The sequence below is a fragment of the Homo sapiens genome, chromosome 14 (assembly GCF_000001405.40).
Source record: "Homo sapiens chromosome 14, GRCh38.p14 Primary Assembly".
In the NCBI taxonomy this organism is placed as follows: Eukaryota; Metazoa; Chordata; class Mammalia; order Primates; family Hominidae; genus Homo; species Homo sapiens.
Genome location: NC_000014.9, coordinates 32600854 through 32628206, shown reverse-complemented (window position 1 = coordinate 32628206; position 27353 = coordinate 32600854). Strand labels below are relative to the sequence as shown.

At 37.3% G+C, this 27353-nt stretch overlaps 1 protein-coding gene across 14 annotated transcripts in view; it reads right to left on the bottom strand.

Moving 5' to 3' along the window:
* Positions 1 to 27353, bottom strand: part of AKAP6 (A-kinase anchoring protein 6) — a 508387-nt gene that overhangs the window by 209478 nt on the left and 271556 nt on the right. Inside the window, exons 1-2 of one of the 14 annotated variants that reach the window (XM_011537378.4) lie at positions 11201 to 11261; positions 109 to 170 (exon numbers count right to left, since the gene is read on the bottom strand). The exons of 12 other annotated variants lie outside the window; for them this stretch is intronic. In XM_011537378.4, coding sequence (XP_011535680.1) covers positions 109 to 126 — 18 coding nt within the window. In that variant the 5' untranslated portion in view covers positions 127 to 170; positions 11201 to 11261. Of the gene's footprint in view, positions 1 to 108; positions 171 to 11200; positions 11262 to 27353 lie in introns of those variants that run through there. One more of the 14 variants, XM_011537379.4, reaches the window with a different exon arrangement.

Sequence of the window (27353 nt, the reverse complement as noted above, 5' to 3'; positions counted from 1 at the left end):
GACCTCCTTGACCCTTTCCTCACTGAGAAACCTGGCAACACAGTCAATTATTTAGCAGTAATGAGCACTCTGTGGAAGATTATTGTGTAATCAAGTACTTTGACTTACCACTTCTGTTATCTCCATTCTTCAACAACTGTTGCATTTTTCCATTACAGGTTCTTCTGTTTCTAAAAGAGAAAGCTGCTCAGGCTCCACATCCACCCCGCGTCCTTTGCCCTGCCATATAATCCTTCGCCATATAATTGGCAGAAATTTTAGATGTAATTAAAATGGTGTGAATTAGAGAGGTCTACTATTTGTGGACAGTAACTGCTGCCTGTTAAAGACCTTAATCCCCACCATTTGAGACCACTCTAAAAAAGAAAAAAAAATGAAAGCTTAAAAAGGAAGTTAAATGTGGCTTTCTAGATCTCTTTCTAACTGGGCTTTGCATGTGGTGTTAAACTTAGAAGTGTGGGAGACACAAAGAAAAGTCCAAACAGGTGATTTTAACAAGAGAGACTTCCAGGAATCCTTTAAGAACTTAATTTCCTGTTTTCCTTTCCTGGAAACTGCCATGAACTGAGGGTTGTGCTAGAAAAAAGAGAAGAGACACTAACCCATTGTTTTGCTAAACAATGTCTTGGAAGGCTCCTGAGAAGACTGAGAAATTCTCATTCCATAATATATATTTTTTAGGGGTACTGTTTAAGGAAAAAGAACAAACTCCTCATGATGCTGTGAAATTTTATATCTTAATGAAGAGTGGGCTGAGTTGGTAGCAAATAATTCTAATTTGTGGCAACTCAAACCCACAATCTTGGAAAAACAAAATAATACCATATATTGATTAATTTCCACTAATTTTCTTACAAGTCAAACTGGGCTACAAATTGAAGTGAAGCAATCCTGATATATGAGATACCCCAATTCAAAGTTCATTTATTTCGTTTTTCTGATTTTCACGCTGATTATTTACTTTAGTAAGAGATTATTCAAAGAATAAAGGCAAAATAATCTTTGATTCCTCTAAGGACAGATACAAGATGAATGAACTGAGCATTTGATGGTACATTCAGATGTAAGCAAAATAACTTATTAACAAAGATTTTTCCACTAGCATAATGTGTTGCTCTGAGGAAATATATAATCTCTTCTTCTATAAGTGTGTCAGGTATGTTTATATCTATAACCATGTTCATAAAGCCACAAATGTAGGGAAATTAAGTTGACAGTCTAACAATTCAGTGATTCCCAATTTCAAGATTAACAAAGTAGAAAGAAATATTGTTCATCCATTTGCCAATAAAGCAGCACCTATTACATGTTGTGTGAGGCACTGGTAAGAAAATGAAGATGAAAGGTATAGTTCCTGCCTTCAAGGAGCTTATAATCTAGTGAACATCATAGGATGACATATGTGAGAAACCACACCGAAGCAATGTGCTGAGGGGATGCATCAAATGCGATTAATTTTGACTGAGGGAGAATTAGGAAGAGCTTAATGGGTGAAGCAGTATTTGAACTGAATTTTGAAGAAATAGAGGTTGGATGAACAGAAAGTAGAGAAGAGCACCCACCCTGAGGAAACATCACACGTGCTGACTTGGACCTGCGGCTGAGTAGTGTTGGAGAAGCTGTGAGCAGGTCCAGTGGACTGAGGTATAGGAAATGCAATAGAACTAAGGGCCAATGAGCCTGGAGAAGCGATTTCGTGCTGGATCAAGGAAAATTGTCAACATCTTTTTAAGGATTTTGAGTTTATTCATTGGCAAGGCTTCTGAGCTGGAGTTTGAGTGATCCAACATGTATTTTAGGAAGATGACAATGAAGGTAGAGTGATTAGTATATTTTAAAAAAAGGAAAATTGAAGCTGAGAGCCAATTAAAAGCCAGTGACATAACTCGGCCCTAGCACTGTACATATGAAAGACCACTGGGGTTGGGGTAGACAATGCCAACATTAAGATTATAGTAAACAAGTCAGAATACACTTAGAAGCTCTTCTGTAAAATAAAAATTATTTGCGATGCAATGATTCTATATGTGAGAAACTAGGTTTCTAAGTAAGTCTGCAGTCCTATCTGACTTGACGATGAGGCCTGGACCAAGTATAACCAACCAGTGGGTATGAAAATGAGAGAAGACATAAGGGAAAACATCTCTGTGGCTCCACCAAATGTTAGTGCTTCCACGTATTTGTAAATAAAACCACCTTTGAACCATGCTGGTAAGAACCCAAGTTAGACACATATTTTGCCACTATAATGGGCTTCTTATTTAGTCCCTTTTGGCCTCTGTATATGTTAAACTAAAGCCAGGCTGAAATACAGTCACCTAAATAGCACCTGGAATGACCTCTGAAAGGCTGGTGAAATATTGTCCCTTTGGTTTAAAGGGTGCTTAACTCATATCTTTCCAACAAACGCCAGGAGCAGAAAGAGAAATGTTCCACACACAGCTGGTGCACAGGTATGACCACAGGTGAGGTTTCCACAGACCAAAAAGAAAAACTGTCAGGCAAATATTTTTACTACACTGAAAGAAAATGGAGTAAGAAGGGTTTTTTTTTTTTATTTGTATAAAATATATTGTTCTTCCAGGCTGCAGTGAAATAGTTTCTATTTAATTGCACAGAAATCCTAAGAAGGTTACAGCAGTGAAACATTAAAATTCTAAGGGCAACTAATAACATTAAAACTTTATAGCCCCAGATAGAATAATTTAGACAAAAACAACATGAACATATGTTTTGTGTAATAATAACAAACATTTATAGCTGTCAAGAGAGAAAAACACAGGTTTATGCACACCTTAATGGTGTGCAGGGGTGAGCATGAGTATATTTAAAACATAATATATTACAAAAATGACAGCAGGCATGGCTCTTCTGGGTACTATGTTAAATCAATGAATAAATTACCAAAAGTGAGCTGTGGCTGTTTGGATGTGTAATTGAGCTTAACGTATGTAGTGTTATTTCAAAAGAAACTGTTCAAGGAGTTTCCAGCCCAATCCACTCTGAATCTATCCTAGGCAGTTTACAAATAGCAATAAATGAAACCTTTTCACAGTGGGAAGGAAGTTTACTTATACACATTACTTAAATTGAGGAAAAGTTAATTTTAATATGCTTTGCAGGAATTGAAAACAAACTTATAATAATTTGCTTATGTTCACCAAACTGGAAATTGAAATGTTAATATTTGAATTTAAATTTATTTTAATTATTCACTGTATGACTCACAAAATCACTAGGAATTATCTGTTCAACTTAAAACAAATACACACACAAACCCTTCATAAATATATGTTTATTATTCTACTTGTTTTAATTACACGATTTGAATGTCACACTTTTTCAAAAAAATTATTAGGACTACAGAATATAAAATAAATTTTAAGCTTGTTTGTGCCAACAAGTTAATAGCAATTGGTAATAACTGAGCTGCAGACAAAGCCATTAATGTGATTTTTGAGAATAAAAATAACTTCTCATAATTTTCTTCCTAATTATAGGGTTGTTTGTCTTACTTAGCACTCTACCAAAGTATTGTGAAACAGGGAAAGAAGTATGTTTTCTTATATTTCTCTGCCTATATTTTTCTGGCCTTAATTGTCTCATACTCCTCTGTAATATATAAAATGCTCTGACTCTTTTACATAGGAAATCTGAAATAAGATTCCAGAAGAATTAAATCTTGAATCTTTTGAATTATACATCTTGCCAGGTAGCCAAAAGGGCCACTCAACAACTATATTTTCTCTTTAGGAGACTGCAACTTTAAGCAATTTAAAATGTTATTATGGGCTTAGGTAACAACCATCAACCATGCTGACTCCTTATTTTTCATTTCTTTTCTGTTAATGGGTCATTATATCATGGCAAATGCAGGATGCAGAAATGTCATATGTTTTAAGAAAAGAAGACTATTTTTCTTGAACAGCACATTTTCCTCTGTCCTATTAGTCCTGTGCTTTGTTGTCATTTACGACCACCTAATACAACAAGTATCTTCTAATACTCTCAGCAATTGTGTAGGTCCTTGACTCAAAAATCCAAAGACTTGCTTTTCATTATGCACTATGTGAATATCTTCTAATACTAAAAATAAGTTTTTACTTACCAAGATCTCTTTTTTTATTCCAAATCATAATAGTTAGATAGGAGGCCATCCCGCTGCATTTTCAGCACCACTTTTACTCATGTTATCACTGTTAATTCACTTTGCCACTCTACTCTCTTCTCCCAAAACTTTGCACAAACCAACCCATTTGCTGACTCTGCCAAACACTTATTCCCCCAGGGTTTCCATGCTTCCATGAGCAGATGATGACTAACACAGTCGGGGCAGTCAGATGCAGACAGACAGTGGAGCCCACTTACTGCTCAGTGCTTGTTAGGAGACAAAGATATGAAAATTATTAGGACAAGGAATACGGCTTTATGAACTGGAAGTTTAAAGACCTGGCCATATATGCTGAAACAGGTAAAGCTACCTAGAAAAATTTCCTTCTCTCACTCTCTTCTGAGTCTTCTCTAACTGCAAATTATGCCACGGTTCTCTGTCTCCAGGCTTGACCCCACAGAGGCATCACTGGTTTTTAAGCAGCAAGTGTCAAATATTTTGCAGAAGAGAATTTAGTGAGGCTTTTATGGGCAATGCCATAAGGTCCAGAGACTTTCTCTGACTATATTCATTTTAGGTGACTCATTTTCCTTTCCTGATTTAAAGTGAGTCCTACAGAATTAATGGGTAAGAAGTAGGGGGATGTGGGAAGTGAAAAGGGATAAGCAGGTAAGTCATTGTTAAGTCACCAGCCAATTGTCATGTTTCAAATATTAACCTATGGATACTAGAACTAACAAGAGTAAATCATAAGCACACAATCAGGGAAGCAATTTATTCTAGATCTCTAAATACATGTTAATTAGGTCTTAGCATCAAAGGCTCTTGACGAAGTATCATAATAATGATTTCCCACTAACAACAACAACAAATATTGAAAACATATTTCAAGATTTCAGATCCTGTATCTTTTAAGCCTCAAGATCTCATCACCTTAGGGTTTAATGCTGGAGCTTAAAAGTAGGAAGTCACAAACTGAACCTGTGGCATCTATAGGACCAGTATTTTAGCACTGAAGAGAAAGCCCAGGAATCATAGGATAGTGTGTGGAAGGCATGGCCTGTGCGGGGACTGATTTTTCACACACCCTACCACTACCACCACCACTGGTAGCACCCATGGTCCTATCGTGAGGCATCTGGCTCTGATTATTGGTGCCTCAAAGTGGTTCTCTCCAGGTTCTACTTCCTGTTTTTCTTTTCAGATTCATTCTCTCTGCTTCCTGTTGTAAACTCAGTCTTTACTTTAGACTGAACCATTAGTTCTCATGCCCACCTTCACCTTGGGTGCTATGATCCTCCTGTTCTATGTCCCACTCAAAGCTCCTCACTGTAGCCCAGCTCGTGGCCACAGCTCCCCACCTGCCTTTGCATGAGAACAAGAAGTCAGACTCCCACCCTGACAGCAACTATATGAGTTTAGAAATGTTGTATAGAACATTATTTGTCTTCTTAGCAACCAACTCCGATAATTTCATATATTTCATCTAATCAATTCAATAACCCTTTGAGGGAGGGAGAGAGGATTATCATTCATTTGCAGATGATGAAACAGATGCAGAGAAGGGATTCTTTAACTTCCTGGTCCCTAGGGTCAGCACCTTATATTTTTCTTATGGCTTATGGTTATATGGGCTTATTTGAAGCTCTCAATTATCTAGGTCTGTAATTATGTCTATTTGTCTCTATTATTATATCTAGTCTAGTCAAATCCTCCCCAGTGAAAATAACAGATAATATTGGTCTTGAAAAAAACATTAAAGTTTTCTTTCAAAGCATTTCAATCATTATATTATCACTACTATATCATGTGATATATTATTATAGTTTATTTGAAAGCTCATCAAATCAACATTCCCTTTCCTTGTCATCAGAATTATTTAAAAATATTGGTGACATACATTAAAATTATGAAGCAGTAAGTAGCTAAAACGAAATAGTAGGAACTAACTAGATAGTAGTACAGTGGTACATTCCTTCTTTCACCAACTTTTGGAATTTTTATTAAAATTAATGAAATTTTCAGGTACATTCTATTAAGGAATGATAATCTTACAAAAGTTATAGGAAACAGGAAAATAAATTTAAAAGGATATATGCCTTATTGAGACTACCTACATATTTGACTGTCCCCTCTGGGAGCTCAATAACAATTATAATACTTAAATGAAAATTAAGTGTTTAAAAATTAGAGTATTAGTACATCTGTCACACTTATCATTAATTCATAACTGGTATGCCTAGGATATCAGTGAGCTAACAAACTCATAAATAACCCTGCTTAAAATGTCCAAGTATGCAGCAACATAATAATAGTGGGTGACTTCAACTCTACTGATAGCACTAGACAAATCATTAAGGGAGAAAGTCAACAGAAAGACACTAGACTTAAACTGCACCAGAACAAATAGACCTAACAGATATTTACAGAACATTCTACCTAAGAACTGTATAATATACATTATTCTCGTCAGCACATGGAACATTCTCCAAGATAGACCATATGATAGGCCACAAAACAAGCCTCAATTTTTAAAAAATCAAAATACTATCTTCTGTAACTTATCAGACTACAGCAGAAAAAAACTAGAAATCAATCCAAAAAACCCCTTAAAATTATACAAACACATGGAAGTTAAATAATCTTCTCTTGAATGATTTTTGGGTTAACAATAAAACCAAGATGGAAATTTAAATTATTTGAAATGAATGATAACAGTAACACAAATTATAAAAACCTCTGGGATACAGCAAAAGCAATGGTAAGAGGAAAGCTCATAGCACTAAATGCCTACATCAAAAAGTCTAAAAGATCACAAATTGACAGTTTATTGCCACACCTCAAGAAAGTAGAGAAATAAGAACAAACCAAACTCAAACCTAGCAGAAGAAAAGAAATAAAAAAGACCAGATGAGAGCTAAATAAAATTAAAACAAGAAAAAACACAAAACACCAATGAAATGAAAAGTTAGTTCTTTGAAAAGAAAAATAAAATTGACAGACCATTAGCTAGATTAACCAAGAAAAGAAGCCATAAGCTCAAAAGTCAAAAGAAGAATAAGCTCAATTAGAAACGAAAATGGAGACATTATGACCAATACTGCAGAAATACAAATGATCATTCCAGACTACTATGAATAACTCTATGCACACAACTAAAAAATCTAGAGGAAATGGATAAATTCCAGGGAACTTATGACCCTCCTAGCTTGAATCAAGAATAAATAGAAATCCTGAACAGACCAATAACAAGCAGTGAGAATGAATCAATAATTAAAAAAAAAACTGCCAGTGAAAAAAAGCCCTGGGTCAAATGGATTCACAGCCAAATTCTACCAGATATTCAAAGAACTGGTCACAATCCTATGAAACTATTCTAAAAGATTGAGAAAGAAGGAATCCTCTCTAACTCATTCTATGAAGCCAGTATTACCCTAATACCAAAGCCAGAAAAGGACTTAACAAAAAAAGAAAACTACAGACCAATATCTCTGATGTACATAGATGCAAAAATCCTCAACAAAATTCTAGCAAACTGAACCCAACAGCACATCAAAAAGATAACTCATCATGATCAAGTGGGTTTCATCCTGAGGACACAGGATGATTCAACATACACAAGTCGATAAATGTGATTCATCATATAAACAGAATTAAAAACAAAAACCACATGATCATCTCAGTAGATGCAGAAAAAACATTCAATGAAATCCAGCATCCCTTTATGATAAAAACCCTCAACAAACTAGGCATAGAAGGAACATGTCGCAGAATAACAAAAGCCATATATAACAAAGCCATAGCCAATGTCATACCGAATGGGGAAAAGTTGAAAACATTCCCCCTGGGAACTGGAGCAAGACAAAAATGCCCACTTTCACCACTTCTATTCAACATAGTACTAGAAGTCCTACCCAGAGAAATAAGGTAAGAGAAAGAAATAAAGGGCATCCAAATTGGAAAATATGAGTTAAACTATCTCAGTTTGCCAACGTTTTGATCATAAAGAATCCTCCAAAAGACTCTTAGATTTGATAAATGAATTCAGTAAAGTCTCAGGTTACAAAATCAATGCATCCAAATGAGTAGCACCACTATACACCAACAATGGCCAAGCTGAGAATCAAATCAAGAACTCAATCCCTTTTATAATAGCTGCAAATGAAATAAAATAAAACAAAATATCCAGGAATATACTTAACCAAGGAGGTGAAAAATCTCTACAAGGAGAACTACAAAACACTGCTGAAAGAAATCATAGATGACACAAACAAATGAAAATACATTCCATGCTCATACATTGGAAGAATCAATATTGTGAAAATGACCATATTGCTCAAAGCAATCTACAGATTCAATGCAATTCCTATTAAATATCAACATCATTTTTCACAGAATTAGAAGAAAAAATCCTAAAATTCAAAGGGAACCAAAGAAGAGCCCAGATAGCCAAAACAATCCTAAGCAAAAAGAACAAATCTGGAGACATCACATTATGTGACTTCAAATTATACTACAAGGCTATAGTAAACAAAATAGCATGGTACTGGTATAAAAGTATATACATAGACCAATGGAACAGAATAGAGAATCCAGAAATAAAGGCAAATACTTACAACCAACTGATCTTCAACAAAGCATTCAAAAACATAAATTGGAGAAAGAACACACTATTGGTGCTGGGAAAACTGGATAGCCAAAGTAGAAGAATGAAACTGGATCCTTAACTCTCACTATATACAAAACTCAACTGAAGATGGATGAAAGACTTAAATTTAAGACCTGAAGCCATAAAAATTCTAGAAGAAAAACTAAGAAAAACTCTCCTGGATGTTGGCTTAGGCAAAGAATGTATGACTAAGACCCCGAAAGCAAACGCAACCAAAATAAAAATAAATAAATGGAACCTAATTAAACTAAAGAGCTCCTGTAGAGCAAAAGAAATAATCATCAGAGTAAACAGACAACCCACAGAATGGGAGAAAATGCTTGCAAACTATGCATCTGACAAAGGACTAATGTCAGGATTTACGAGAAACACAAATAACCAAGAAAAAAAAAACAAATAATCCCATTAAAAAGTAGGTAAATAATATGAATTGGTATTTCTCAAAAGAAGATGTACAAATGGCCAAGAAACACGAAAAAATGCTTAAAATCACTGATCATCAGGGAAATGCAAATTAAAATCACCTTACCCCAGCCAGAATGGCCATTATTAAAAGGTCAAAAAACAATAAATGTTGGCGTGGATGTGATGAAAAGGGAACACTTATACACTGCTGGTGGGAATGTAATTTAGTACAATCCCTGTGGAAAACAGCATGGAGATTTCTCAGAGAACTAAAAGTAGATCTATCATTCGATCCAGCAATCCCACTACTGGGTATCTACTCAAATGAAACAAAGTCATTATATCAAAAAGACAGCTGCATGAATATGTTTATCACAGCACAATTCACAGTTGCAAAGATATGGAACCAACCTAAGTACCCATCAACCAATGAGTAGATAAAGAAAATGTGACATACATACACCACGGAATACTACTCAGTCATAAAAAAGAACAAAATAATGTCTTTTGTACCAACTTGGATGGACGTGAGGGTTATTATTCCAAGTGAAGTAACTCAGGAATGGAAAACCAAATACCTCTGTCCTCACTTGTAAGTGGGGGCTAAGCTATGGGTATGCAAAGGCATACAGAGTAGCACAATAGACATTGGCGACTCAGAAGCAGGGAGGGTAGGACGAAGGAGAAGGATAAAAGAACTACATATTGGGTACAATGTATACTACTCTGGTGAAGGGTACACTAAAATCTCAGGTTTCACCACTATACAATTCATCCGTGTAAACAAAAACCGCTGGTATCCCTAAAGCTACTGAAAAATTTTTTTAATGGTAGAAAAAAGTAAAAATAAAATTTCCAAGTACAGACATAGTAGATTGCTTTGTTTTTCTTTCTTTTTTAGGCTGTGAAATGCAAAGATATAAAATATTTTGCATTAAAAAGTAGCTTTCCCTGTGTTTTATTTAATTGTTCTAGCTTCTATCATATAATGAAATTTAATTAAATCAATTTAGTCCTAGGTAATCTCAAAGAGTATGAATCAACTCACAAAAAAGGAACAAACGCTTAAAGAACTAAAAAAAAAATGACCTGAAGGGCTGGGTGTGGTGGCTCATGCCTGTAATCCTGGCATTTTGGGAGGCTGAGGCAGGCAGATCACTTGAGGCCAGGAGTTTGAGGCCAGCCTGCCAACATGGCGAAACCCTGTCTCTACTAAAAATACACAAAAATTAGCTGGGCGTGGTGGCACACACCTGTAGTCCCAGCTACTTGGGAGGCCAAGGCACAAGAATCACTCAAACCTGGGAGGCAAAGGTTGCAGTGAGTTGAAACTGTGCCACTGCACTACAGCCTGTGTGACAGAGCAAGACCCTGTCTCAAAACAAAACAAAACAACCTAAAGGACACACGTAATTTAAGGGTTTTGATTTGTGTTATAAATTGTTTGTCACTCAACAAGCATTTTGTTCAAGAATAGTCTTTGAGGGATATATTACGCTGAGCATTGCAGTGTGCAGAACAATGAACAGGAAATGGTTCCCCACCTTAAGAAGAATGCAGCTTGAGGAATATCTTTAATACAAAATTCAAAGACAGAATGTGATAAGTGCTATAAATGAGGTACAAATGCTGTGGGAATTGATAAAATTGAGAGTCATTTTGGTATAGATGGCTACTGGGTGGCAGACAGACCACCGAGATAAACCCTGATAATGGGGAGGATTAAACAGGTGGAGATGAGCAAAGATAGGGAGCTGAACAAGAAGAGCATAGCAACAAAAGATAAACTGGGACGTTTTGGAGACTAGAGGTACCCTCATGTGGCTATGGCAAAGGAAGAAAAGGGAGCATCAAAGGAACAAGGCTAGAAAGGAACTTTATAGATAGGCAATGGAAAGCCACTGAAGGATTCTGGATAGGAGAGGCACATAAAGTGCAAATGGAGAAGAGGCAGGAGAGGCACCGACAGTAAGGTTAAATTCAGAGGCTAGTTTTAGTACTATGTCCCATGGTACCTGTGAGCTTTGCAGAGGTCAGAGATAGGGAGGGCTACAAAAGTCGCAGGGGACAGTGAGCAAAGGGCAAAGCCCCCAGGTTTTCAGTTAACTGAAAAATTCCAACTGAATCAACTGAAAAATTCCACTGAGTTTATAAAACTCAAAAATTCCACTGAGTCAACTGAAAAATGCCACTCTGTTTATAAATATATACATATATGTTGGGCTTATAAGTAAGATTTAGTTTGAAAAAAGAGGCTAATTTTTTTTTAGTTTTATTTAAGTTCAGGGGTACATGTGCAGGTTTGTTATACAGGTAAACCTGTTATTGGGGTTTGTTGTACAGATTATTTTGTCATCCAGATGCTAAACCTTGTACCCATTAGTTATTTTTCCTAATGCTTTCCCTCCTCCCACCCTCCACCCTCCAAAAGGCTCCAATGTCTTTTGCTCCCCTCTATGTGTCCATGTGCTCTCATCATTTAGCTCCCACTTATAAGTGAGAACATATTTAGTTTTCTGTTCCTGTGTTAGTTTGCTAAGGATAATGGCCTCCAGATCCGTCTATGTTCCTGCAAAGGACATGATCTCTTTCTTTTATATGGCTGCATAGTATTCCATGGTGTTTATGTGCCACATTTTCTTTATCCAGTCTACAATTGATGGGCGTTTAGACTGATTCCATGTCTTTGCCATTGTGAATAGTGCTGCAGTGAACATACACATGCATGTGTCTTTATGATAGAACGATTAATATTCCTTTGGATATATACCCAGTAATGCGATTGCTGGGTTGAATGGTAGTTCCATTTTTATCTCTTTGAGAAATCCCTACACCGCTTTCCACAATGATCAAGCTAATTTACACTCCCACCAACACTGTATAAGTATTCCTTTTTATCTGCAATCTTGCTAACATCTGTTATTTTTTGTCTTTTTAATAATTGGCTAATAATTCTTAATTAAAAGCCACCAATCAATGATTTATAGAAAGGAATCTGAGGCTCAGGGACTTATTTGGTAACCAAGAAGTCATGAGGGAACATTGATGAGAATAATTTTAATAGCGTTAGTGTGAACAAAGTCACCATGTAGCATTAAGTTGAGAAGAGGTTAAAAAGTAATGGTTTAGGCTGGGCGCGGTGGCTCACGCCTGTAATCCCAGCACTTTGGGAGGCCGAGGTGGGCGGATCATGAGGTCAGGAGATCGAGACCATCCTGGCTAATATGGTGAAACCCCGTCTCTCTAAAAATACAAAAAATTAGCTGGGTGTGGTGGCGGGCGCCTGTAGTCCCAGCTATTTGGGAGGCTGAGGCAGGAGAATGGCGTGAACCTGAGAGGCGGAGCTTGCAGTGAGCAGATATCGTGCCACTGCACTCCAGCCTGGGTGACAGAGCAAGACTCTGTCTCAAAAAAAAAAAAAAAAAAAAAAGTAATGGTTTAGCATTGGGGGAAACATGTAAAAGGAAGTATTGTGAGATTCAATAGGTAGAGAAATATTCAAATTACATAATACTCAACAGATTACAATATTTCATTAAGAGAGAATTTGTTTTTGTCCCTAATAACAGAAAATTTCAGCTCCAACTAGAGGAAGGTTAAAAAAAAAAAAGAAGGAACTTATAAGAAGTGCTGAAGGTCAAACACCTCAAGAGTTGGTTCATTCAGCTGTTCAATGATATAAAGAACCCATTTTTCCCCTCTGCCATCCTTGGCATATTAAGCATTATCCTTGACCTAGCTCCATTTATAGTGACAAAATGGCTATAGCACCTCAGCTTGTTACCCTTGTGAAAGCATCCAGAGCTTGAAAGGGAACCTTTTCTTCTTGTTTATCTTTTTTTTTTTTTTTTTTTGAGACAGAGTCTTGCTCTGTTGCCAGGCTGAAGTGCAGCGGCACCATCTCGGCTCACTGCAACCTCTGCTGCCTGGATTTAAGTGATTCTCCTGCCTCAGCCTCCCAAGTAGCTAGGACTACAGGTGTGCACCACCACGCCCAGCTAATTTTTGTATTTTTAGTAGAGACGGGGTTTCACCATGTTGGCCAGGATGGTCTCGATCTCTTGACCTCATGATCTGCCCGCCTTGGCCTCCCAAAGTGCTGGGATAACAGGTGTGAGCCACCGCACCCAGCCTTGTTTATCTCTTTTTGAGAAAGAAAACCTTTCCCAAAGCCCCATAGACTCTCTTCATATCTCACTGGCCAGAAGTGCATCAATTAGCTGTGCAAAGGGAGCCCTTATGGTTGCCTCATGGACTAACTGTGATTCACTGGCTGGGCTGGGGAATAGGGTCCACTTCACCTGGACCACACACCATGAAAGAAAGTAGTATGTGGACAAAACAGGTGATGCTGTTAGGACAAAGGAGGAAAATGGCTATTGGTTAGGCAGTCCACAATGCCTGCCAAATAAAGCTTAATAAACATTATTTGATACTGCTGTTGCTGATTGTATCATTAGTGCAACATCCCCAACACACTCCCTTTTATGATGAGAAGTATATCTGTACTTCCTAATATCAAATTTTACCACTTATGAGAAGAAAGAACTATTGATTGCCTTGGAAAATTACACAAAACAAGAGCTTCTATTTCAAGGCATTGCACAAGACTGTTATGAGAGAAAGTCTGCTTAAAATGCAGGCTTTCCAGAGATTTCATCTTCAAACTCTTCTACCTGATTTCCCTTTTGTGTATTAGCCAATGGAGCATAGTCATTAAGCTTTTTGTGTACAACTGAGACAAAAAGTATCTGTAGATAATGATAAAAGATGCTATTTGCCAAAGGTCTGAAGCAGGACTTCAACTGAAAACCACCACACAATTGGAAAAAATACAAAAATAATAACAAGGAAGAACACTTAGAATATCAAATTTATTTTTATTCAGCGATATCTTTGTTCACATTACTGTTCTCTTTGTCCTGTATTATACAGTTAATAATTCTTAGCCTTCACCAAAAATGAGGGGAAATTTTCAATTACTGATTAATAGTAATAGTTAAAAAGTTCTCACTAGGAAATGAGATGATTTCACTCTAAAATGCAACCAAAATTAGTAGCAGCACTATTTGATGATAATTTTGAAAAATACATTTTGTTTTCTGTTCAGTCATATTTAGTCTAATTGACTTGAGAGAAAAAAACATTGTGTCCCAAGAACTTCATTTAAAAAGCTGGGTAGTGGTGCCCAGAAAGTTGCCATTTTAAACATGTGTATACACCTCTCAGAAGAGCTCGTTAAGAAGAGGAACAATGTGTGATCAAAAAAGTGGTCAGTGTGAAGGTGCTTGCTGGGTGTACGACAGGCCAGGTAAGAGAACCTCCAAAGTCTTAAGGAGGAAAATTCCAACACAGTAAGCAAGTTGGCATTACCCTACAACAGTCATTATCACTGATGCTATTGAGCCCGCTTAGCATCAGAATCACAAGTTTATATCATACTATTATTACCTTACTTTCAGCTAGAAAAGAAATGAAAGCTTTGGGGATGAGCAGCAGAAAAGAAGAAAAGAAATGAGACAGAGGAGTTTTCCAAAATTCCTCATAATTCAAAATGCATAGCCCCTCAAGTTATGAATAAACTTCAGAAGGTTTAAACACTGAAAGTTCAAATATGTTGATGAAGCTTAACTAATCATTTTCTAGTCTCAAAACTGGACCAAAAATTCCCATTAGAAATGGTCTAATTCCCTTAAAAATGAATGGTTTTAGCCACATGAAAGCATCCAGTGAAATTCCGTATTTGCTCGTCATCTATCTAATGATAGCTTGAGTATATACACGAGGTATCAAGTGAAAGACAGCAGGGAAATAAATGCCTGAGTGTTTGTGTTTGTGTCTAGTATAAAACAGAGAGACTGTGTTCCAGAAAAGCGACCCAGGTCATTTTACAAAGAAGAGAGCTCCCCAATCATATATTTCCTACAAATGTCTAGAAGTGTATAAACTACATTATGTTAGCTAAACCTCATTCATCATTTACTAGAAGGATGTGTATGTACACAAATTGCAATGGACCAAATATAATATGTCAGAAATTAGACTTTGATAGCGATTCAAATAGTGGTATGATCTAGTTCTGCCCTTTGAATTTATGTCAATTTAGAGACCTTTACCTTCTCAAGTTCAATCTCACCTAATCTTGTTAGAGAGCTTTGGAGCAAAGACTACAAATTTCATCAACCAGTGTGCTGGTCAGCTACCAAGTCATATTAGATGCTTTTAATGTTTTTCAAAGAAGCAACTCAGAGTATATCCTTTCAGCAAGGCTGTTTAAACAAAGGTTTTAAAAAATCTAACAATCTATTAACATAACCAACTAGACCTGCCTCAAGGAAGTATGAATATAATAATAAATTCACACTATAATAAAATCACATATTTAAGGTACAAATGCCTAGTTATTTGGGAAAAAATAGGTGAAATGGTTCTTCTAAAAGTTGATTTAAAGATTGTTTTATTTACAAAAAAAATAACAAGTGGCAAAGAAAATGGGAGAGAAGTGTAGAAAGGAAGAACAGATGTTAAGATGGGATTGTGCCATGATTTACACAGCTAAGATAAAGTATCATGAAAGATGAGATGATAAAGTAGGGTTCTGTCTTTAGCTTTAAAAAGGATATTATAACTACACATGATATTATTATAATCAAACAAAATTTACTAAAATACATTTTAAAGCTGAAATAACGTGTAAAGTGAGTAAAACAAAGCTTAGGAGGTAGTTGCTGCCCCAAGGAGTTTGCGGTCATGATGGATGGTAATCACTTGAAAAGTTAATTATGAAAGATATAAACAGAAATTCAAAACCACGATGAAACTGGTGTTTTACAAGGCTGTGTGAGATTAATCACCAAATGTAAGGTACAAACAGTAAATGAGAAGTTTAGAGGGCACAGTGATCACACAGGACTGGAAAATTTTAGGAAATCTCTTTTGAGAGGATAGGATTTGACTCCTACTCTGTTCTCTAGTCCCTCCTCAGCTTCAACCCTCCCTCTATTCAAATAATTGCTCCACTGACTAATCTCATGGGGTTTGTCTTCATTCTAAATTCTTTGGCTTCCTTCCCTCTTTCTGTCCTAACTCAGAAGATGTATCCTCCTTTCCTGAAAATCACAGATCCACTGATTCACTTCCTTTCCTTGTCTGAATCATTGTAGCAATAACTATCCATCTTTCTTGTCCCTGAAACTATCTTCTTCAAGTGTCCCTTTTTCACTAGTCCTATTCTTCAGTCTATAAACATGCTAAGTTCACTCTCGCTCCATGAAAAGTTCCTTTGACCTGCTATAATACCATTCCCCAGCTGCCAGCATTCTGGGCAACAGGGCCTGAAAGTTTCACTCCTCAGGTTGTAGATTCTCACTTAATCCCCAACTTTAATATGGTATCCTGGCTCTCAATTACCCTAGGCTTTCCTTAAAGTTCTATTGCACATCTACTTTATTCTCACACAATAGTCTCTTGTTAAAATCAACTTCCAAGGTTACAGCTATTATTTCTATTTGGACTACCAAACCTACATCCTTAACATTGACCTCTACTCTGAGCTTCAGGCTTGCATTTTCAACTGTTACACAAGAACACAGAGTTGATTTTCAAGTTTCTCCTCCTTACTAAATCTTTGTTCTCAAACTTTCCTGTACTTTAGAATCACCTGGGGAGGTTACAAAAATATCTATGCCCAGGTTACACACCTAGATATTCTTATTAATTGTGCATCAAGGTCACTGTACTAAACAGAGTTAATTATCTTCCCTTTCAAAGCTATTCCTTATCATAATGTGTCCAACCTCAGTTAATGGTAATACCATTCTCCTAACTGCTCATGCTCAATTCCTTTAAGTCATCGTTAACCCTTCCCTCAGGCTCCATCCCCTAGATACCAAATCCTATTATTTCTTCTTCCAGACTATCACTCTTACTTTTTTCCTTATATTAGAGCACAGCCACTGCTTTGCCTCGGCCTGCCTTTCATTATTGTAGTAGTTTCCTAATTCATTGTCTTGACTTTCAGTTCTTCCTCTTTCATCCTGCCTTTGCCATCTGTTTTCTATGACCAAATTCAATCATTAAAAACACACAGGGCACACCAGTAAAACACAACTCTTCAGCCTGATATCCAAAGCTGTCCAGTATATAGGTCAAACTTTTTCAGTATCTATCTTTCACTAAGTCCTCATCTCTTGCTTATAAACACATGGATACTGTATGCTCAAGAAGCCAAACTATTCACTGTTCACTTTCGATGTCCCTCATATTTTCCCTTTTCCATACTTTTGACCATGCTATTTCCTATGTTAGGAATGCTCTCCTTCCAACATCTTTCTACTACCAATTTTGCCAAATATTAGAGACCTCCACAAAATCCATCTTCTCTTAGGCCTTCCCAGGGCCCATCAGATTGAAATAACGTTCCCTCTCCCAGTTTCTGTATCTCTTGTATTCATCGCACAGTCTGCCTTAATTTAGAACTACATTTGTGCACATCTGTCTCCACTGCTAGGCAGTGAGCAAGAAGAGGTACAGTATCCTGTCCAGAGCTACATCATCATGTTGTAGTTACATTTTAAATATTTATCTATTCTAAGGATGAATAAAAGCAGTATAGATGGAGGGAATGAGAAAAGCCATGAGCAAGAGCAAAGAACAAAGAAAAGGAAAAATACATTTGGAAAAGGGTGGGTAAACTAGAAGAATTAAGAAATAAAACATTGACACAAATCTTAACTAAGCAGCTAGAATCAAATGATGGGCTAAGAAGTTTGTCCTTTCCCTTGTTATGGAGGGTGTCTAAGAAGACTCTCTCAATGATTATCTACTCCGTTTGGAACCTAAGTTTTTTTGTCAGTAAAGGGAAAGTAATAATAGGAGTTAGGACTCCTGGCATTGTTGGGAAGAATGAACAAGCACACCCAGGTAAAAGGCTTTACATGAACCTAAACTATAGTAAGCCCGTTGTGAGTGCTAACCGCATTAATAGAATATGTTATATAAACACACCCACACACAATGGTTACACAATAATATCTAAGATGTCAAAAGTAAAGAAAGTTTTTCTGCTTTTGATTTCCAGAGACTGAGAAAGGAATGAACGTGTGTGTGTGTGTGTGTGTGTGTGTGTGTGTGTGTGTGTGTCAGAGAGAGAGAGAGAGAGAGAGACCTCATGAATACACTAAGGTCCATGAAACAGACTTGGGCAGCCTGTGGAACCAATGCCCCTAAAGACAGCTGAGGCAATGTTTTTTAGCTTCTACCACATTTCACTGGACACATGCTTCGTTCTTTAATCTTTCTCCTCTGTTCCTTCACTCTCTTCTTTCTAGTCTCTCTTTTCTTTTGTCTTAGTGTCTTGATTTAGGCTTCCTTTTTTCCCTCTCCCTCTTCTCACTCAGGGAGGTCCACAACCTTGCTGAGCTCTGCAGGAGGCAAAGCTAAACAAGTGTTGGCCTCTGCAGGCCAAATGAGTATAAAAATGAGAAGCCACTGCCCCAGTCCAATGCAAAATGGCCTGGAACCTGCAGTGAGATGGTCCCTGAGCTCTGCCCGGCGGGACCTCCAATCTAGTTAATGTTTCCTGAGAAACATAAACCTTCATTTAGGCACAGTGGGAGCTAAGACTGGGAATGTTCTCTGAGTACAGAGCAAAGAGCAGTACAGTACCTTAAAAAACACTCTGTCTCTGGCAGCATCACAACCACATAAATGGGTATATTCCAACTGAATTCCAAAGAGAAAGAACAAGCAAAATGTGGACAACTCAATGCCATTTGACTACACTAGATGGGAGAGGTACTCTGGGTGTGAGAAAAGTTAAACAAGCATTTGGAGTATTTAGGGTGCTGAGTGCAGGTGTGTGTACATTTGAAAGCTGCCATTTAATAAGAAGGCCTAGATGACTCAATAAACCCAAAAGCCAGAGCGGAGTAATCCCTTTAGCAGGCAGGGCTCTCCCAGCTCAGCCTGCTCCCCTGCCAGAAACAACACATTCCAGGAAAAAGTGTAAGTCACACACTGAGGTAATTGTTTCACACTTTCAAAGAATTTACTTATTAGTTTTAAAGTGTTTTTTAGAAGCAATTCTGTATTTTGCCTTCTTTTTTTGTGCTTAAATACTTACATTAATAGATTTTTAAAATGTTTGACCTCCACTACCTAGCACAAAATGCTTCTAATGTGTTTACTCTATATTATATTTAAAATTGATCAGACTGAGGTACAAAATGTGAGATCTGCCAATAAAAATGGCTGCTTTCCACAGACTGTAAGTTTGTAAACAATACCAAGCATCTTTTCAACTTTAGTTATTGCAGATTCAGAGATTAGGCATTCTTGGACTAAATAGGAAAAAAGTAAGCTACCTATTCCTGTCAATGACTTTTCCCTGTGTTGATTAGAGACACCAAAGAATTTTACTCCCAGATTCTTGCTGAGCCAAATGTTTCTATTCTCAAGGCCACCAGCAATGGAAGTATAGTGTGAAAAACAAAATAAGCTATGCTTTTTTTTTTTTTTTTTTGAGACAGACTCTTGCTCTGTCACTCAGGCTGGAGTGCAGTGGCACAATCTCAGCTCACTGCAAACTCCATCTCCCAGGTTCAAGCGATCCTCCTGCCTCAGCCTCCTAAGTAGCTGGGACTACAGGCACACACCATGACACTTGGCTAATTTTTTATATTTTTAGTAGAGAGGGGGTTTCACCATATTGGCCAGGCTTGTCTCCTGACCTCATGGTCCACCCACCTCAGCCTCCCAAAATGCTGGGATTACAGGCATGAGCCACTGTGCTCGGTCTGCTATGCTCTTATACACTATATAGACCAAGAACATTAGCTGTCCTTTGACCTAGTGTATATTTTTATTTTCCCAACCATTTTTTTCAGTCATCTCAAGAGAGTGGCAGACCATTAAAAAATTCCTCATCTTAGATCCACCCATACATCTTATAATATGCAAATTTAAGTGCTTCAAGGAGATTAGAGAAACTATTTTCTATTGGATTCGATAACAAACTTAGTAACCACACTGATCTTCAAAGAAGTAACTCACTTTTGTTTCTGTCTTTCAAAAAATATTTTTGAAGAAAAGTTGCCCTTCTGATAACGAAAAAAAGGGGCTATTGAAAAATCCACAGTAGCAGAAAGAGTTCTCCCTAGGTACTGCAAATCAGGACTATGTTTATATAGTTCAGCAGGAAAGGAACCAGATCGGATACTGGCTTTTAGAAATATTTCTGCACAGAAGAGGTAGAATTGATAATGTATTTACTACTCATTTGCTTGCATCAAGAACCCCATTCCATTTCAATCTGCTAACATCCTAATTAAGATGATCTGAATCTTAGGTAATCTATTATTCTAGATCTCAGATAGCCCAAAATACATTAGACAAGTTGTTACACTATGTGCTTACACTGAAATGATAAGACCACTAAGCAGAAAAGCATGTCTTCTCTCATGTCTGGCCTGGCACTGGGCAGAGTGCAGAGTTCTCTGTCAGCACTCAATAAATAATGGCCAGGCCTTGGCCTGCTGTTTTTCTTTCCATTACTTTAGGCACAATTTAGTCTTACTAGATCATTTCTGGTTTCTTTCGATAACATATACCTGTGCTCTTGTTTGCATGAGGAAGACAGCAAAGTGTCTCAAGCAGTTCCTTACAAATATGTGCATCAGTATATGTGGGACTGACGACACATAAATGCAGTTCCCATTGATTGCATTAGCACTGTTTCGGAAGATCTTATATTAAGGAACATGCTAACTACATAAGCTTCTGAGCCAGAAAAGAAAAGAATGCAGATCCAATACTTTGTCTCACCAATGCTGTGGAAGAATCAGGATCAAGTTCTATTCTAAGAAAATATTAGCCAGTTGCGCTCTTACCCAAAACATCTTGCCAAGAAGCTCCCCAGATCGACTCCTTTATACCCCTTCAGTTAAAGAAAGTTACCCATAATTCATTAGCATAGATACTGGGTTAAGACTTGGGCATCTGGTAAACAAACAAACAAAAACACATGCTAACACTAGACTTGCCCTCTCTTGACATCTAAATAAAGGTCAGTTGGGTATATTGTAAGCAATATACCCAAGTCAAAGGCCACATAGATGTAAATTCTCAGCCAATATCTAACACTTTCATTCATAGGGCTGAGCAAACATATATCAGGAATATCCTTAAGCTTGCTGTTCTGTTATTGTTGAACAGATAACATTGATGACCTTCATAGTCTGATATCCATTTCCAAAGGAAGATGACTTCAATCTAAGAGCCTCAAAGAAGACAGATAAAATGAGCACAATCCTAGAGTTCAAAGCAGCTAACTCTCTGTCTCCTTTCACTAAAGAAATGAAGATGTTAGTTGGGACTCAGGCTAGGTCATCCTCGTAGTAGCTGTAAAGTTTTCTGAATTTACAATAAAATCTTCAAATATTCTTTGTTCTGGAAACTTATCTGTTTCTTTAAAAAGGGTGAAGGAACTGTTGTTGCATGCTTTCAGTGATGTAAGGTTGGATAAGTCATAGGGGGAAATCCTGGTCTCCATTATAAGACACCTGTAATAATGCATGCTTCGTAAGTGAAAAGTAAAGAAAGAGAAGATAAGAACATTTTAAAGGAGACAATGTATAAAATTTAAAGATGCTTTCTTGCTTTCAGATTTTTTGTTTTTTGCCTTGAAAGGTCAAAAAAATGTAGCTTTTGTTAGGTGTTGTTCACTATGTTTTGAAATCCCTCCAGCTGTAGACCATTAAAAAATTGAACATACTGAAAGCCTAATCTGAAGTGATAAACTTTCACCAATCTATCTTAAAGTAAAAATATATAATTATAAGCATATTTTCAATTCTTAGATGTGAGTGCTGAAGCTCTATTTCTAGAACTGGTGAATTCTATTCTCTATTTCCATGTATAAAAGATCTCACAGTCCTGGGAAAACACTTTTTTAAAAAATGAAATACAACAAATAAGGTATGCTGCTGAGTCCTAGGGGAGAAGTTTCCCAGAGTCTTTGAATTTCCTCCTATCCTCCTTCTTTACAAGATTTCTAAAACCAAGTCCTTTTCTGCAGTCTCTCAAACAAGGTAAAAAAGAAAAATACCCCCTAGATATATTCCTTAGATTTTCTATTATGCTTCTCAAGCTCCCAGTAGCTTCTGAAGTAAACCTAAGATGAATTCTGGAGTTATGTATTATCATGTTTTAATTTTAATTCCTCTTTAGGTCTAAGATGAAATAGATGATCATAACTGCTGTGCTTGGAGATGCATTTCATGGCACAATTTGTACATGACCTGTGCAAGGTCACGTCATGGAAAGAGGACTGACATAATGGCTAAGAAGCCAAATCCAGCTTTTAGTCATGGAGAACTTCAGGGTAACCTATTTAAGCTTGCTCGATTTATTGCAATATGACAATAAAAATTTTGGCTTAAACAATATGTTCAGGTTTATTGTGTATAGAGACCTCACTCTGGCTTGGATTATATTAATAGAGACATAGGAGGAATTATTGTCAAATCACTGATCATTAAGGATCATTTTTTGTCACATTGTTACGTCTTGGTGCAGTCTGTGGCAGGCTGGCCTACTCATCATCTGCAACAAGGTCCCAGGTTCCAGCCACACCACAGTTTTTACACCTCTCTATCTTTGTATATGCTATTCTCTCTGCCCATTATTTTCACCTTGGCAAAAATCCTGTCTACCTTTCATTTAAAACAAGAATGCCTCCCTGTAAATTGTTCTTTGATAGCCCAAGGTAGGGTTAGTTATTTCCTTCTCAGTGTATTTATAGCACTTTGTTCCTATCTCTATCAGAGTATTTATCAGATCCATTATAATATTTGTCTATTATTTATAATTTATTAAAATTATTTGTCTCTAGAAAATGAAGGCTTGTCCATTATCCTCAGCAAACTAACACAGGAACAGAAAACCAAACACCACATGTTCTCACTTATAAGTGGGAGCTGAACAATGTGAACACATAGATCCAGGGAGGGAAACAACACACACTGGGGCCTGTCAGTGAGGGGACAGGTGCGGGGAGAGCATCAGGAAAAAAAGCTAATGCATGCTGGGCTTAATACCTAGGTGATGGGTTAATAGGTGCAGCAAATCACTATGGCACATGTTTACCTATGTAACAAACTTGCACATCCCGCACATGTACCCAGAACTGTAAATAAAACAAGAAAATGAAGTCTTGTATATTTACTCCTACTTAGGATTTACTATGTGCTAGGTGCTGTTCTAAAGCACTTTAGGTATGTCAAGTCTTTTAAATCTGTATCACAACCCTTTGAGGCAGATATTATCATTACCTCTATTTTATAAATGAGAAAACGGAGGCACAGGGAAGTTAAATAATTTTCCCAGGAACACACAGCTAGTAAGTGCCAATCACTGAACTCAAGCAGTCTGGCTTCAGAATCTGAGCCTTTATATTATTATTATATGTGTTTGCCCAAGGGAGTAAAAGAAGCAGTTCATAAACATTAAACAAATAGAAAGCATGAGCATTCTGATTTTTTCATAGTTTCTTAAGCTTAAATTAATAAATATATTTTCTTTGTCTTAAATTGATTTCACATTCATCCTTGAGTATGGATGAGTTCATTTTTCCAGAGAAAATTCAGCCAAGATTGTGGAGAGAGAACTAGTTGGGAGGTAGAGGCCTGGGGTTTTGCTGGCTCAATCATGTCAAGATCTCAAACTCTCAGAGCCTCCTTCAACTTCTGCATCTGCGGATACCTACAAAAGCCTCTCCTTGTAGCTGCTTTTAGATGCACTATGCTGTGCACATAATGTGACATGAAAATGCTCTAGAATAGAAATACTATTAAAAAGGAAAGCACGAATGTTATTCTTGGTAAGCTGATGTGACTCAAGGTATTTTCACTTTTGGAATAATGTAAGTGGAGGGTTTTTGTTTGGTTTTCTCTTAAGAAGTAAGGCACCTTAATCATTAAGAACCAGATATATTTATTTTTCTTCTTGATATTTAAATTCATATCTCAAGTCCCTTAGCCCAACGTCACCTATTTTACCTCTTATCACTTTTTAATTCTTATATTTTTAAATGTATTCTTATTTTTTTATTTATAATAATTCTTGCTCGTTGAGAGGTTTGGAAAATTCAAAGATACTCAAAAATATATCATTGTATATCATAGGTATCCTCCAGTATTTCCAATTCTCTTCTAAAACATTATTTTTATGGTTATGTAACCATAACATTTCATTAGAATGAAATTTAGCATAATTTAATCAAACCATTCTTATTTTAAACATTTCAGTTGATGCCAATTGTTTGCTATTATAAGTAACAATGCAACAGACATTCTCTTATTCACGTTGGGTGAGGATCATGTAGTCCCTGCAGGAAAAGGGTCTTCTTGGTGCCTATTATAGAGGTTCTCCAAGAGCTTATTGGAATGCAGATTCTGGGGCCCCACCCATGAGGTTCTGATATGGTCTGAGGAAGAGCCTGGGTAGGCAGGTCCTCTTTTTGAGAAATGCTGACAATGTTTCTCCTCTGATAATACTTTCTCCTTCTCACTGTGTTATCAACTTCATTCTATCTCAATGCCTCCCTAAACAATAAGGTGATTTCAAAGTGTCCACTTCAAACTGGCCCTGGTGAATGTACTCCTTTTCAACATAGCTCTTTCATTAATTTAGGTCATTGTGCCATCTCTGCAGTCCACTTCGGCATACTCCCACCCTAGCCCCACTCATCCCACCCCACCCACTCATGTCCCATACCACAGCCAGTAAGAGGTTTTTAGAGTGCAACGCAATAATGTCACTTCTCTTCTTACTCCAAAAGCCTCCCCTTGTCCAACAACAGGGCACCCAGCTTCCCTTGCACACTTCTCCCTTTCTAACAACACTGGCCTGTTCACAGAATGACAATCCCTCCCTGATACCCTAATCTAGATCACTTCTCCTGGCCCAACCTCTTGTGACTCCCTTTTCTTTCCTTTCACGGCACATCACAATCTGTAAAGGCAGTTATTAAAATCTGTTGCTCACACTTCACCACAAGCTTCATGAGACAGGCACGGAAGCCAGCTGTTCATCTCTAACGCCTGGTCCCACACTTGGCCCTGAGCAGTGCCAGTGAAAGGCAGTATGCTAGGTGGTGATGAACACGGGCTCTGCGATCAAAGGGCTCCCAGCTCTGCTACTTAGCAGCTGTGCGACCTTAAGGAAGTTACCTAACCTCTCTTTGCCCTCCTTTTCTCCATCGGGGATTAAAATAGAACCACTTAAAAATTTGTCATGATAATTAAATGACATAATACAGAAGTGCTATAGAATAGCATCTGGCATGTAAAATGTAGCCAACACAGGATAGCTTTTAAAAAGTAGGCCCTCAGTGTATTCTTGTTAAATAAACAAAATACAATGAAGCTTTTTTAAAGTGATTTTCCCAACTCAGCCTCCTGAGTAGCTCAGATTATAGGCGCATGTCACCATACCCAGCTAAAATTAAGATTTTTGACTTGTTTTTTAGAGACAGGATCTCTCTCTGTTGCCCAGGTTGGAGTGCAGTGGTGTGATCCTAGCTCCCTGCAGCCTCAAACTCCTGGGCTGAAGCAATCTTCCTGTCTCAGCCTCCTGAGTAACTAGGACTGTAGGTGCATGCCACCATGCCTGGCTCATCTTTCACTTTTTGCAGAGATAAGGTCTTGCTATGTTGCCCAGGCTGGTCTCAAACTCCTGACCTCAAGTGATCCTCCTGCCTCAGCCTCCTACAACAAGTTTTTAACTGTGTCGTTTCTTATCATCTTTCCTCTCCCTACTTCCACACACAGCCAAAGCATTAGCCCAGTGAACTTCTCCCTACAGCCTACTCCTTAAAATAGCTCCGAGTTTGCCCTGAGAAATGTGCTGAATACAGTCTCCACTCTACATTATTAGTTCCAGCTTTGATCCTTTCATCACATCACTTCCTAAAATATGTGCTCATGTGCCAAGCCACCTCTCCTCCTTCCTTCAAGTACTTCCTGAAATGCAACCTTCTTCATGGAGGTTTCTTTAAGTGAAACTGAGCTCATCATTCTATCCTCTGTTTCCAACAAATAAGTTAAAGGCGTTGTTTGAGATTCAAAAGCTGTAAATTGTCTGAGCTTTTCACTGGCTGCATGGGTCTCAACATTGCAGGGCTGGATGGGTTTCTCCTCTGCCTGCATTTAAAAATGTGAGTCTAAGAGGGCAAAGTATTTGTTTAACTTGCTGTGTATACATTTAGCACAATGCCAATCTACATGGATGCTGAATAAATGTGACTTGATGATGATTTACTTACTTTGTCCAAGCCAGGAATAAAAACCATGAACTCTTAAATATGTTTCCCCCATGTTACAATAAGTTTTATTCTGGATTTATTATGAGGCAGGTTTTCTGTGTTTACTTCCACAAAGGAGCAGATGCAAAAGAAAGGAGTGATTACACGAAAATATCAAATTAATAACATTATTTTCCACATTATGAGCCCAAAGATACCTTTAGAACAGTGCCAGTCTGTATCAAAAGGTGCCTCATTTAAAGTTCAATTGCATATGTTTTATGGGTTATTTTGGACAACTAAAATGAATAACCAAAACACATCAGTACTCATTTTTAAAGTACTTGTTGTATTCGGTGCTTGTACCATTATGGAGAACTCACACTTGGAGCAAAAAGATTTGTAGCAAAGCATATGACCTTCTTCCCACTACAATGACCATCCCCTAATTAGGCAATGCATCTGATAGTCATTAACAGGAATGAGATAATGAATCACTTTCTCTCTTCTTTGTTAATTTGCTGTAACCAAGCGGCTAATGGATGTCAGAGCTGAGTGATTGCACTGATTATAGTGATTTATAGTTGCAACAAAACAATTTAAAACCATTCTGATTATTCATGTTAAAGATGCTTTATGTTTTGTTTACTAAATGTTTTATGTCCCCCTTTCTCTCACCCTTAAAGTACTGTCCCCCACCTACCCTGCCACTTTTCAAAAAAAGACCTCTTCCTGGAAAACTTGGAAGTTGAAGGCTTTATTGTTTTAAACTAAGGCATTTCATTTTGTTTATATATATATAGAGAGAGATATAAAGTTTACCCAGTAGAAACAAAAAGCCTTAGGGTTGGAAAGAAAACTTCAGT